This window comes from Homo sapiens, chromosome 19 (genome assembly GCF_000001405.40).
Source record: "Homo sapiens chromosome 19, GRCh38.p14 Primary Assembly".
Lineage (NCBI taxonomy): Eukaryota > Metazoa > Chordata > Mammalia > Primates > Hominidae > Homo > Homo sapiens.
In genome coordinates, this window is record NC_000019.10 from 9,585,356 (window position 1) to 9,598,547 (window position 13,192).

At 44.4% G+C, this 13,192-nt stretch overlaps 1 long non-coding RNA gene across 1 annotated transcript, besides 1 other annotated feature; it reads right to left on the reverse strand.

Annotated features, from left to right (window-relative positions):
- Window positions 4,080–4,726: an enhancer, noted in NCBI's record as "OCT4-NANOG hESC enhancer chr19:9700111-9700757 (GRCh37/hg19 assembly coordinates)". NCBI's record gives its function as "activates a minimal SCP1, AML or CMV promoter by ChIP-STARR-seq in naive H9 embryonic stem cells {active_cell/tissue: H9 hESC(naive)}" and the evidence as "EXISTENCE:reporter gene assay evidence [ECO:0000049][PMID:30033119]".
- Window positions 5,114–10,984, reverse strand: LOC105376914 (uncharacterized). The gene is made up of 2 exons (XR_936311.3): window positions 10,889–10,984; window positions 5,114–5,384 (listed from the first exon to the last, which is right to left on the reverse strand). It is a non-coding gene; the product is annotated as an uncharacterized LOC105376914 (long non-coding RNA).
- Between the last annotated feature and the right edge of the window lie 2,208 nt (window positions 10,985–13,192).

The following is a 13,192-nucleotide window of genomic DNA, read 5'->3' on the forward strand; positions in this document are numbered from 1 at the left end:
TCCAATGATCTGTCTCCCTCAGCTTCCCAAAGTGCTGGAATTATAGACATGAGCCACCGCACCCGGCCACGTTTTCAATATAATAATATTTTCTGTAAATCTTGATTTTTTTTTGTCTTCATCAAGTATGTATTTCTGGCTGGGTATGGTGGCTTATGCCTATAATCCCAGCAATTTGGGAGGCCAAGGGATCGTTTGAGGCCAGGAGTTTGAGACCAGCCTGGGCAATACAGCAAGACCCCGTCTCTGTTTAAAAAAAATTTTAAATATGTTTTTGTTTTTGTTTTGAGATGGAGTCTAGCTCTGTTGCCCAGGCTGGAGTGCAGTGGCACGATCTTGCTCACTGCAACCTCTGCCTCCCGGGTTCAAGCGATTCTTCTCTCTCAGCCTCCTGAGTAGCAGAGATTACAGGCAGGCGCCGCCATGCCCGGCTAATTTTTGTATTTTTAGTAAAGACAGGGTTTCACCATATTGGCCCAGTTGGTCTCGAACTCCTGACCTCATGATCCGCCTGCCTCACCTTTCCAAAGTGCTGGGATTACAGATGTGAGCCACCACGCCTGGCCAAAAACATGTATTTCTATTGTTATTTTTCTGATCTTCCCACATGGGCCAGGACCACATTTCCTACATTGTAAAATAGCACTGACACCAGACATTCTCCCCAGGTTTATTCAGAAATGTAACATAATCCCAGTAAAAATATTAAAAGTTTTTTCTGGAGTTAGGTACGTTGATACTAAAGTTTATGTGGAAGAATAAATATCTGATAATAACCAAGAAAACAAAAACAAAAGCAATGATGAGCAGCAGATGTTAAAACATACTATTAACAGTTTTCACACAAGGCAAATAATTAAATTATATTAAAATAAAAATAAATAAGACATACTATAAAGCCTCTATAATTAAAACTATGTGGTACTAGCACATGAAGCAGAAACAGACTAATAAAATATCTAAAAACAGACCCAAGAACATGTAGGAATTTGGTTCATAAATGTGGTATTTTGCCAGGCGCGGTGGCTCATACCTGTAATCCTAGCAATTTGGGAGGCTGAGGCGGGAGGATCACCTGAAGTCAGGAGTTCGAAACCAGCCTGTCCAACATGGTGAAACCCTGTCTCTAATAAAAATACAAAAATAAAATTAGCCAAGCATGGTGGTGGGCTTTCTGTAATCCCAGCTATTCGGGAGGCTGAGGCAGGAGAATCGCTGAAACCCAGAAGGCAGAGGTTGCAGTGAGCCGAGATCGCGCCACTGGACTCCAGCCTGGGCAACAAGAGTGAAAATCCATCTCAAAAAAAAAAAAAAAAGGTATTTCAGATCAATGAGGCAAAAAAAGCCATTTGTAATGGAAAGTCTAAGACAGCTGGGTAGCCATCAGAGAAAAGATGAAATTAAATCCATACTTCACAGCATATACAAGAATAAACTCTAAATGGACTAGGGATCTAAATGTGAAAAATAAAACCATATACGCATTCAGGGTGTAAGTGATTTCTTGGCTGAGTAAGGAAAAAGACGTGACCACAAGGCGGCAGTAGCACACAAGCTTCATTTGGGATGTGCTTTGACAGGTAAGGAGTGGCGGGAGGTAGCAAACAGCAAGAGAATATCCACAGGCTTCTACCTGTGGGTCGCTGCTCAGAAAGGGTGGAAAGGAAGAAAGACTCCCAGAGGAGAAGGGGAATCAAAGAGGGGGCTTATATGACTAAGTGACGATGCTCAGCAGCCTGGCAGCATATCTTCCAGTTAAAAAGTTCTGAAGGACAAGTCTGGCCAACATGGTGAAACTCCGCCTCTACTAAAAATACAAAAATTAGCCGGGCATGGTGGCGGGCGCCTGTAATCCCAGCTACTCGGGAGGATGAGGCAGGAGAATTGCTTATACCCGGGAAGCGGCGGTTGTATTGAGCCAAGATCGCGCCATTGCACTCCAGCCTGGGCGATAGAGTGAGACTCAGTCTCAAAAAAATAAAAATAAAATATGTAATTATCTGTTCATTCTGAGTACAGGGAAACACTGATAGGACTATCCTGAAAATAATAAGATTCAGAATCTATCGGGGATAGATGGGAAGGGCTTGAACAGAATGGTGGGATAAGAACAAAATGGAGAGGATAGGGATAGGGAAACCTCTCTGAGCATATCATTCTGTTTAGTTCTGATGTTTAAAATCACATTCTACTTTTTTTTTTTCTTTTTGACAGGGTTTCACTCTGTCACACAGGCTGGAGTGTAGTAGCGTTATCATTGCTCAGTGCAGCCTTTACTTTGTGAGCTCAAGTAATCCTCCTGCCCAAGTACCAGGGAATACATATGTACACCACCACATCCAGCTAATTTTTAAAAATATTTTGGGTAGAGAAGAGATCTCTCTATGTTGCCCAGGCTGCTCTTGAACTTCCAGTCTGTCACATATAAAGTTTTGGTGCCACAAAAGAAATAACACTTGAATATAAAATTTTCTTTTTAATTCTCAGCAAGGCAAGATACTTCTATAGAAGGGTGCACTCTCACAGATGGAGCAATGGTGGGCACACACCTGGACAAGGGAGGGAAAGGGGTTCTTATTCCTGACACACGTGGTCCCTACTGCTCTGTCGTTCCCCTACTGGCTAGGGTTGGACCTCACAGGCTAAACTAATTCCGATTGACTAATTTAAAGAGAGTGATGGAGTGAGCGGTTTGGGAAAAGGGTGCTTTATGAGGAAGTTAAGTTTAAAAGTAGAAGGCAAAGAATTGAGCATACTGACATATTAATTCTTTGAAGAGAAATTTATAATTCATTTTCAACAACTTCCTCCTCTTGCATTTTTTTTATGGCTTTCTCTTCAAACTTATTTAACATGTCTTGACTTAGTTGTTCTGCTTGATTTTCCAAAAGAAGGAGCTTCTCTGGATAAGGTGGAGGATAGTTAAAGGAGGTTTTAGTAAGTGCCATTTCTATGAGCCTCTGCACCAACCTACAGATGCATGGTATGACACGGCACCTGACAAGGATAAGTACACCCATTACGGCTACAAGGGAGGTGAGAATTGAGGCTATTATTCCTTTCCATTTACCGAACCACTTTTCTAGCCATTCTGTAAATGGGTAATTTACCCCTGAATTGCTGGCCAACTCATTGGATAGAGGAGTCAGGCCTTGCAATGCCTTTCTTATACTTCCATTAGGGGCCGTGTTGTTTGGGATGAAGTTGCAACAATGAGTTTTAATAATGATGCAAACTCCTCCTCTTTCTGCTAATACCATGTCTAAAGCTATCCTATTTTCCCAAGCCATCAGGTTAGTAGCCCCCAATTGCTCAGCTATTCCTTTAACAGCATCTCTAGTGTAGTTAATAAATCGCTGTTGGTTGTAATAGATGTAGTTTACCCAATCTACATTTTTTTTTTTTTGAGATGGAGTCTCACTCTGTCACCCAGGCTGGAATGCAGTGGTGCGATCTTGGCTCACTGCAAGCTCCGCCTCCTGGGTTCATGCCATTCTCCTACCTCAGCCTCCTGAGTAGTTGGGACTACAGGCACCTGCCACCATGCCCGGTGAATTTTTTGTATTTTTAGTAGAGACAGGGTTTCACCGCGTTACCCAGGATGGTCTCAATCTCCTGACCTTGTGATCCGCCCGCCTCGGCCTCCCAAAGTGCTGGGATTACAGGCATGAGCCATCGCGCCCGGCCCACCCAATCTACATTTTTATTAACTGTCGCCTACCAAAATATTGACTTAAATCCTGCAGCTATTGGATTTTGGGCTTTAAATTGATCTGGTATTCCCCGTGGGACTCCAATTGCATCTAAATAGCCGTGAGAGTTGAAAGACCTATAACGGGCTTGTCTTGCTTTACGAAGTCTTATCTTTCCTCCCTCTGGTTGCTGAAATGCCAGGGTGAAAGGGATAGCCAATTGGACTAAAGCACAAGTGCCACTCCAGTTATTCAGCAGAGTGTCCAGTAAAGGTCCACCACAATACCACCACACATCCGCTCAGGGATGAGCAAGGGCTGACTGATTGGTAAGCTCTTGAAAGTTCTTAAGCTCACTGCATCCCTTCAGGTCTCCAAGGAACACTAAGTTTCCTCTCTGTTGTGAGAGACACGAAGTGAACTTAATGTTGGGAGATGGAAGCTGGATGGCCCTCGGGGGCTGACCAGCATGTTGTTGAACTTCAGGATATAGCAGAGACAGAGAGTCGGCATGACTCTTTACCCTAGGCTGTAGAATCCTGGAAAAGAGTTACCATGCAGCCCATGCCCGGTCTATTGGAGAACCACCCTAGTGGAAAGGGGACAATCTGGGCCTCTGGCCTGCTGTGCGCACTAGCATAACAATTGCTTTTGTTTAACATGCGGATGGAATATTTGATCCATTCCAACCAGGTATTTACATCTTGGTATCCTGTCTCAATTGCCAAAGTTTAAGTCTTTAACTTCTACCATCGCTATCATGGCCTTGTCCTTAGATGGAGGAGGAACAATGGTTCCGTTGTGAGAGGTTTTGGAAAAAGGCTAAGAGGCAGGTGCAGGCAGCGGGAGATCAAAGAAACGCATTTCAAAGAATCCAGTAGGGTCTGTCCTTGAAACCTCAGCCCCTATACCATAAAACCGGCTTAAAGAAAGGAACTGGCTTAGAAAAGGAGAACTTTGGGGCTCAAAATACTAACCTGTATAGGGTTGCACTGGTTTGGCTGACAGTTGGGGGGGGCTGTCCCTTTAGTAAATGAATGTATGGTTTTAGGAAATTCCAAAAACTGGTTAGGGCAGTCCATCCTTGCTCTTTGGTGGTCCACAGAACGTTGGACCAACTACGGCATAAAAGCTCTACATCGGGGGTTGGGGTCAAGACTCCTGGTTTCCACTGGGATCTTTATGGAAATCTCCCAGATTAAATGGTCCTAATTCACTAATGCCCAGTCTGAGGAGAGCCAGGAGGGACAGAGGTGCTTTTCTGAAGTAGTGAGCTGCCTTTGACTTGACAAATCCCCACAGGGTATAACAAGGCAAGCATTAAATGCAACAGTTTGAGGCAAAATTGACTTGGTTATGTTAATAACTAGATGGTCAGCAACAGAGCGAGGAAAGAAGAAAGAGTAATAGAATAGATGAAAGACAGTTAAATTCTTCTTAGCTTTAGTTTGGTAGGGTTTTCCCCTGGGACTATGGCCCACCACTCTGGAGGTGGTGGCGCGTTCTTGACTCTGGTGTGATGAGTCCATCCTCTCTCTGCCGTGCGGACTGCGGTTTCAGTAGTGAGGAGCAGTAAGTAATGAGATTCCCAGGCTGGCTCAGGCTTCTCCTCTTTCCAGCTCTTGATGAGGACATGATCCCCAGGCTGATGATGCACTGGGAACTCTAAGGGTGGCACCTGTGCTAATAGACCTTTAGTTTTAAGAGAAGAGAGAATAGAAGATAGACAAAGTATATAATTTTTAAGGATTGATCTTTTGTTTCAAAGGTAGGAATATCAGCAGTGGAGTGCAAATAAGGTAATCCATAGAGCATCTCATAAGGAGAAAGACCAACGTCTTTCCGTGGTGCAGTTTGAATTCTCAGCAGGGCGATAGGAAGACACTTGGTCCATGGCAATCGAGTCTCTAAGACTAATTTGGTTAAGTGGTTCTTTAGAGTCTGATTCATTCTTTCTACTCTCCCTGATGAGGGTGGGTGCCAGGGAGTATGGTGTTCCTATTTAATGTCTAATGTTTGGGATAGCTTTTTAATAATGTGTGTGGTGAAATGAGTTCCATTGTCTGAGTCAATATTTTCTATTAGTCCAAACCTGGGTACTATATTTTCAATTAAGGCCTTAACTACATTATTGGCTGTTGCATTTGAAAAGGGGACAGCTTCAACCAAGTGAGTGAGGTAGTCTACTATCACTAGTAAATATTTTAGACGACCTATTGGAGGCATTTCTGTGTAATCAACTTGGATACTTTGGAATGGCCTTAAGCCCAGATTCCTTCCCCCGAGAGGTAATCTTTTTATAGTATGTCTATTAGTTTTCTTACATACTAAGCAACTATCTGTAACCTGTTTGGCCAGAGTATAAATTCCTATATAACTATAAACTCTGAGAACTGCATCACACATGGCCTGGGGCCCCCAGTGGGTCTCATGATGTAGTTAGGATAAGACTTCCCTCATAAGGGGTTTGGACAACATTTCTCTCTGGTCTGACAGCATCCACTTTCCTTCTGAATTCTCTTTAGCGTCTATGTTTATTAGTTTCTCTTTTTTGGTGGAAGAGAAAATGGGGATTATGGTAGGAGGAGGGAGGTAGGGAGTTAAGTGAAAAATATGCATTTCAGAAGACACAGCAGCCTGCTTGGCTACCTGATCTGCTAGGTTATTTCCTCGACTTTCAAAAGAGGTTTTTCTGTTGTCCGGGAACATGGACAATAGTTATTTTTTCCGGCAACTGAAGATTATTCAATACTTGGGTGATCAGCTCCTTGTGAACAAGGTCTTGACCTTTACTATTAATGAGAACTCGTTCAGTCCAAATTTTTCCAAATGTATGAGCCACTTCAAAGGTGTACTTAGAATCGGTATAGATAGTTCCCTCCTGGTCCTGTAAGTACTTTAAGGCTTGGCTGAGTGCAAACAGCTCACACATTTGAGCAGACCAACTGTTGGGCAATTTTTCTGACTCTATTTCTATGAGAGTTTCTCCATCAATCACTGAATACCCATTGTGTCTTTTTCCCTCAATCACCCAGGAGGAACCATCTATGAATAAGTGCCCTCCAGTCCAGAAGGGGGTTTCTCCTAGGTCTGGTCGAACCTTTCTATGGTAATCAATTAAATCTAAACATGTGTGTTCTCTCCTTAGATTTGGATTCCCTGTAGGAAACCTGCTGGGTTGAGTGAATTATCAGTGGTCAGTGTTAAACCATCCTTTTTTTTTTTTCTTTTTTTGAGACGGAGTCTCACTCTGTCACCAGGCTGGAGTGCAGTGGTGCCATCTCAACTCACTGCAACATCCAACTCCCAGGTTCAAGCGATCCTCCTGCTTCAGCCTGCCAAGTAGCTGGGACTACAGGCGTGTGCCACCACGCCCAGCTAATTTTTGTATTTTTAGTAGAGATGGGGTTTCACCATGTTGGCCAGGATGGTCTTGATCTATTGACCTTGTGATCCACCAGCCTCGGCCTCCCAAAGTGCTGGGATTACAGGCATAAGCCACCATACCCGGCCATAAATCATCTTTTTCTAACAGAATGGCCTCATACTTTAAGATTCTTGAGTCAGTAAGCCATCTCCCTGCTCTATGGTTTAAGATAGTTCTAACTTGGTGAGGCGTGCTTACTGTCAATTTTCCTCCAAAGGTTAACTTTCTGCTTTCCTTGACTACTATTGCTGTAGCTGCGATGGACTGGATGCATTGAGGCCATCCACAAGTGACTGGGTCTGAGGCTTTTGGTAGGAAGGCTACAGGCTGTCGGCAGCCTCCATGCTCTTGAGTCAGCACTCCTAAAGTTATCCCACTGTCCACATTAACAAAAAGGTGGAATGGCTTTTCCAGGGAGGGTTAGGCTAAAACAGGGGCAGTTATGAGCCTTTCCTTCAGCTTCTCAACTTGATCAACTTCCTCAGAAGTCCACAGGAGACAGTTAGGTTTCTCCTGAGCAAGTTTTTGATATAACAGTTTACTGTGCAGTGCATATGAGTCAATCCAAAAGCGGCAGTATCTAACTAATCCTAAACATTTCCTGAGTTCTTGTTTAGTTTGAGGCAAGGGTAGGGACACAATTCCCTCAATTCGTTCAGGCCCTATTCTTCACTTGTCTGCACTTATTAAGTGGCCTAAATACTTAACTTCGGGATCTACATACTGAAGCTTTCTTGTTGAGACTCGTAGCCCCTCAAACTACAGGTGATTAAGAATATGTGTAGAGAAGTCAGTTACCTTCTCTATATCTTCACCAGATATAAGAATGTTGTCCACGTACTGAAGAAGGTATATTTGTTCTGGGATGACAACTTTTTCTAGTACTTGTTCTAAACTTTGGCCAAAAAGATTAGGGGAGTCTGTGAACCCTTGGGGCAAGACTGTCCATCGATATTGTTGTTTCCACCCTGATTGGGGATCTCAGCTATCTTCAGCCAGGGGACATGCCCAAAAAGCATTCTTCAAATCTATTACAGTAAACCATTGATGATTACATGAAATCTTGTTAAGAATAGTGTAAGGATTGGGGACAACGGGGTGGGTAGTCTGGACTATTTGGTTGATAGCTCTACAGTCCTGTACTAGCCGATATGACCCATCTGATTTCTTGACTGGCAGTATTGGGGTGTTTTAAGGAGACATACAGGGCTGGAGAAGCCCGTCCTTAATAAGGCCTTTGATTATAGGTTTCAACCTTATCCTGCCTTCTAGGGGAATAGGGTATTGTTTCCTTCTTACTACTTCTCCTGGGGTTTTTAGCTGATGTGGATTGGAGGGACTTGGAGTTTCCCTTAGTCTCCTTCTTTGGACCAGACATTAGGATTAATATATTTTTCATCCGCAGTGGTGAGTAGGTTTAATGGGGTGAAGAATTCTCTTGGGCTGACTTGTAGACCTATGCCCAACTTTAACATTAAATCCCTCCCCAGGAAATTAGTTCCTGCTTCAGGGATTAACAAGAACTGAATATAAGCTGAGCGATCCTGGTGTCTAACTTCTGTGCTTTGTAAAATTTTTGCTCTAAATCCTTCCCCTTTTACCCTGGAAACTAAAAGTTCCTCTGAGGAGGAGCCAACATTAGATGGGGGGAAACAAACAGGAGCGAGCAGCCCCTGAATCGACTAAAAAGGCGATAAGCTCATGTTTAGGTCCCACATCCAAATTGATCAAGGGCTCCTGGTGGGACTCAAGATAAAAGAGACAGGGCCCCTGACCCCCCTATTCCTTGAAAGTCATGAGTGGAAGGGCTTCTTTCTCCTTAGTTCAGGACATTCTCTCTTGAAGTGGCCTGTTCTTCCACATCTATAGCACATATCTTGTCCTTCCTCCCTCTTAGTTCTGGGATTCTTTAACCCTGTCCCCCCATACTCTTTAGGGGGCCTGGTAGATGAGGACCTTTGTCCTCCAGATGGAGGCTGGGGGCCTTTAAAACAGGGTTCAGACCCTTTATACTTTCTAGGTCCCTGGAAGCTCTGTCTAGAAGTACCTGGGTTTGGAGCCATCTGTTGGAAGGTGGAAAACATAAGTTTTGTTTTTTGTTTCTGTTTTTCTTCATCCCGTTTCACATGTACTTTCTAAGCTTCCCTGAGAAGCTCACTTAGAGGACGGTCTTCCCAATTGTCTATTTTTTATAACTTTTTTGAAATGTCTAGGCAACTTTTACTGACAAATTGGAGTTTCAACATTCCTTGCCCAAGGAGATCATCCAAAGTAAGGCCTGCATATTGCCTCATTTGCTCCCTCAGTCTGTCTAGGAATCTCACAGTCCCTTCATCCTTTTCCTGTTGTATATCAAGCGCTTTAGAAAGATTGCGGGTTCAGGGTACTGATTCCTGATTTCCTTTTATTATCATCTCCCTTAGGTCCTGCATATTTTCCCGGTGATCTGCGTTGTTATTGTCCCACCGGGGGTCTTGGGTGGGGAATTTCTGTTCCGCGGTAGGAACGTTTTTACCGGGAGGGTGCTCACGTTCCCTAAGTACCATAGCAGCCCTAGGAATCATACTCCTTTTTTCCCCTGAAAAGAGGACGGCCAAGATGGACATTAACTCGACCCAAGTGTAACTGAGGTCCTAAGAATTGGTCAATTTGGTCTGCCACTCTGTAAAGGTCATCTAGTAGTGGTTTAAGCTCCTTTTTAAAATTCCGGACTTCTGAACTGGTTAAGGGAGCATTTACAAAGCCAATTACAAAGCCATTGGCCCCCACTCCTTGTGGTACCTCTTTCAAAGGGAATAAGGTCAGGGCTGACCTCTTAGGTATGGAGGGAAGCGGAAAATTCTGAGTATCTTTTTTACATTGTTCTACCTCACGCTGGAGTCCTTTTAGAGAGGGGTATTTAGGTTGGGGGGAGGACAGGCTGGTGGGATGGTAATTCCCAAGAGTCAGGGTTATAAGGAGGAGGGATAACACGAGTAGAGGGGGAGTTTAGAATGGGATCTGAGGTGGAAGTGGCTGTCTGAGGGGAAAGATTGGGGATACTGAATGGAGGAAGATAGTTTAGGGGATCCCATGCACTGGAGTCTTTAGGCATGAGATCTGGCTCCTCTGACTTTTCATTTTGAGGTGCCAGATTGGGTTCTTCCCTATTTGTTTTTAAGGGAAAAAGGAGGGCTGGTCCTTGCCTCCAACAAAGGGCATAGCGTAGTTCTTCTTGAGACACTGGACTTTTATTATTAACATATCAGATTGGAAGCTGACACATTACATCCTCAGTTGATTCAAACTTTGGCCAGAAGATTGAGGAATTAAGGATGGGTCCCTGAGTCCAAATAAAACAGCAATATTTTATTATTTGTTGCTTTTTCCTATGTTTAGTCCTTTCATTATCCTTCCAGTGTTTCAGCATGAGACCTAGGGGGCTATCTGGGGGAATATCTTTGTTACCATCTTTATCCCCCTTGCTCCCTGTCTTGCTTGGGGTATTTCCCATCTTGATGGTTTTGGGGTAAGGTTCAAGGTTCAGTTTCCCTTACTGGAAATTTCTCACCTTTCAGGGTGAGGCTTAATTTTCACTGGAAACTTTTTGCCTTTTGGGGTAAGGCTCAATTTCCCCTCTGGAAATTTCTTGCCTTTTCTACTATTGGAGGTTTGTGTGAGGTTCAATCCCCCCCAACAATGGGGATGTCTCACCTCTTTTTAACCACTTAGCCACCCTGACCAAGGAGTACTTCACTGCACCCACCCCCAACCCCCGTGGCTTTCTTACCTTGTTCCTGACCACCAAGGAAATACTTTACTGGCTCCTGTGGCATCTCCTTCCTTGGTAGGTGCACAGAGTCATCACTGCAGTATGTGAGGATCCTTTAAGCTAGGTTGCTGGCCAGTTGTTTTTTTCCTGCATTGCTTAGAGCTAGGGTTATTCCTCACAATGGGTGGGTTCTGATTTCTCCCCTATGAGGCCACCACAAAGGGTGGGGTGCATGCCTCCTCAAGAGAGAGAACCAGAGACCACCCCCAGAGGGGAATGTAATCCTGGATGAGCCCCCAAATTGTTATATAATAAGTTTCAGTGCTGCAAAAGAAATAGCACTCGAGGCCAGATGCAGTGGCTCATGTCTGTAATTCCAGCACTTTGGGAGGCCTAGGTGGGTGGATCACAAGGGCAGGAGATCGAGACCATCCTGGCTAACACAGTGAAACCCCATCTCTACTAAAAAATACAAAAAATGAGCCGGGCGTGGTGGCGGGCACCTGTAGTCTCAGCTACTCAGGAGGCTGAGGCAGGAGAATGGTGTGAACCTGGGAGGTGGAGCTTGCAGTGAGCAGAGATCACACCACTGAACCCCAGCCTGGACAACAGAGTGAGACTCCATCTCAAAAAAAAAAAAAAAAAGAAAAAGAAATCGCATTCAAATATAAAATTTTATTTTTAATTCTCAGCAAGGCAAGGTACTTCTATAGAAGGGTGTGCTCTCACAGATGGAGCAATGGTGGGCACACACCTTCACAAAGGAGGGAAAGGCGTTCTTATTACTGATGCACCTGGTCCCTACTGCTGTGTCATTCCCCTATTGGGTAGAGTTAGACCACACAGGCTAAACTAATTCCAACTGATTAATTTAAAGAGATGGACGGGGTGAGTGGTTTGGCAGGAAAAATGGTTATGAAATGAATTGGAATGAATGAGTCAGGGTGGAGAAGGTAATCTGAATGAGCAGAATGAGTCAGGGTGGAGTAGGTAATGAGTCAAGGAGTAGAATGTGTCAGGGTGGAAAAGGTTGCTTTACGAGGAAGTTTAAAAGTAGAAGGCAAAGAATTGAGCATACTGACATATTAATTCTTTGAAGGGAAACTTCGAATTCACACTCAACAACTCTAAAGTGATTCTCTATCCTTGGCCTCCCACATTTCTTTTTTTTTTTTTTGAGACAGACTCTCACTCTGTTGCCAGGCTGGAGTGCAGTGGACTGATCTCAGCTCACTGCAACCTCTGCCTCCTGGGTTCAAGTGATTCTCATGCCTCAGCCCCCCAAGTAGCTGGGACTACAGGTGCCAGCCACCACGCCCAGTGAATTTTCGTATTTTTAGTAGAGACGGGGTTTCACCATGTTGGCCAGGATGCTCTTGATCTCCTGACCTTGTGATCCACCTGCCAAGGCCACCCAAAGTGCTCAGATTACAGGCATGAGCCACCATGCTCAGCCTTGGCCTCCTACATTGTTGGGATTACAGACATGAGCCACTGTGCTTGGCCCTTTATTCCTTTACATATTTAATATTTTAAAAAATTAACAAAGAGGCCAGGCACAGTGGCTCAGGCCTTTAATCCCAGCACTTTGGGAGGCTGAGGTGGGTGGATTACGAGGTCAGGAGTTCGACACCAGCCTGGCCAATATGGTGAAACCCCATCTCTACTAAAAAATACAAAAATTAGCTGGGCATGCTGGTGCGTGCCTGTAGTCCCAGATACTCAGGAGGCTGAGACAGGAGAATTGCTTGAACCCAAGAGGCAGAGGTTGCAGTGAGCCAAGATCGCTACACTGCACTCCAGCCTGGGTGCAGAGACTCCATCTCAAAAAAATAAGTAAATAAATAAACACCACACCCAATCAGCTCAAGCCTGTGGCTAGAGATAAGAATGCAGAAAGAATTGGCCAGGCGCGGTGGCTCACGCCTGTAATCCCAGCACTTTGGGAGGCCGAGGCGGGTGGATCACGAGGTCAGGAGATTGAGACCATCCTGGCTAACACAGTGAATCGCCGTCTCTACTAAAAACACACACAAAAAAATTAGCCGGGCGTGGTTGTGGGCACCTGTACTCCCAGCTACCCAGGAGGCCAAGGCAGAATGGAGTGAACCCGGGAGGCAGAGCTCGCAGTGAGCCGAGATCACACCACTGCACTCTAGCCTGGGTGACAGAGCAAAACTGTGTCTCAAAAAAAAAAAAATCTAGAAAGAATCTAGAGACATCTTTCCTGCCCAAGATAGTGTTTTCCTCCTACTTCCTTTAAACTGACTATCCATGTATTTGCTCCTAAATTTAAAGTGACTCACACCCTATTCCCTTATG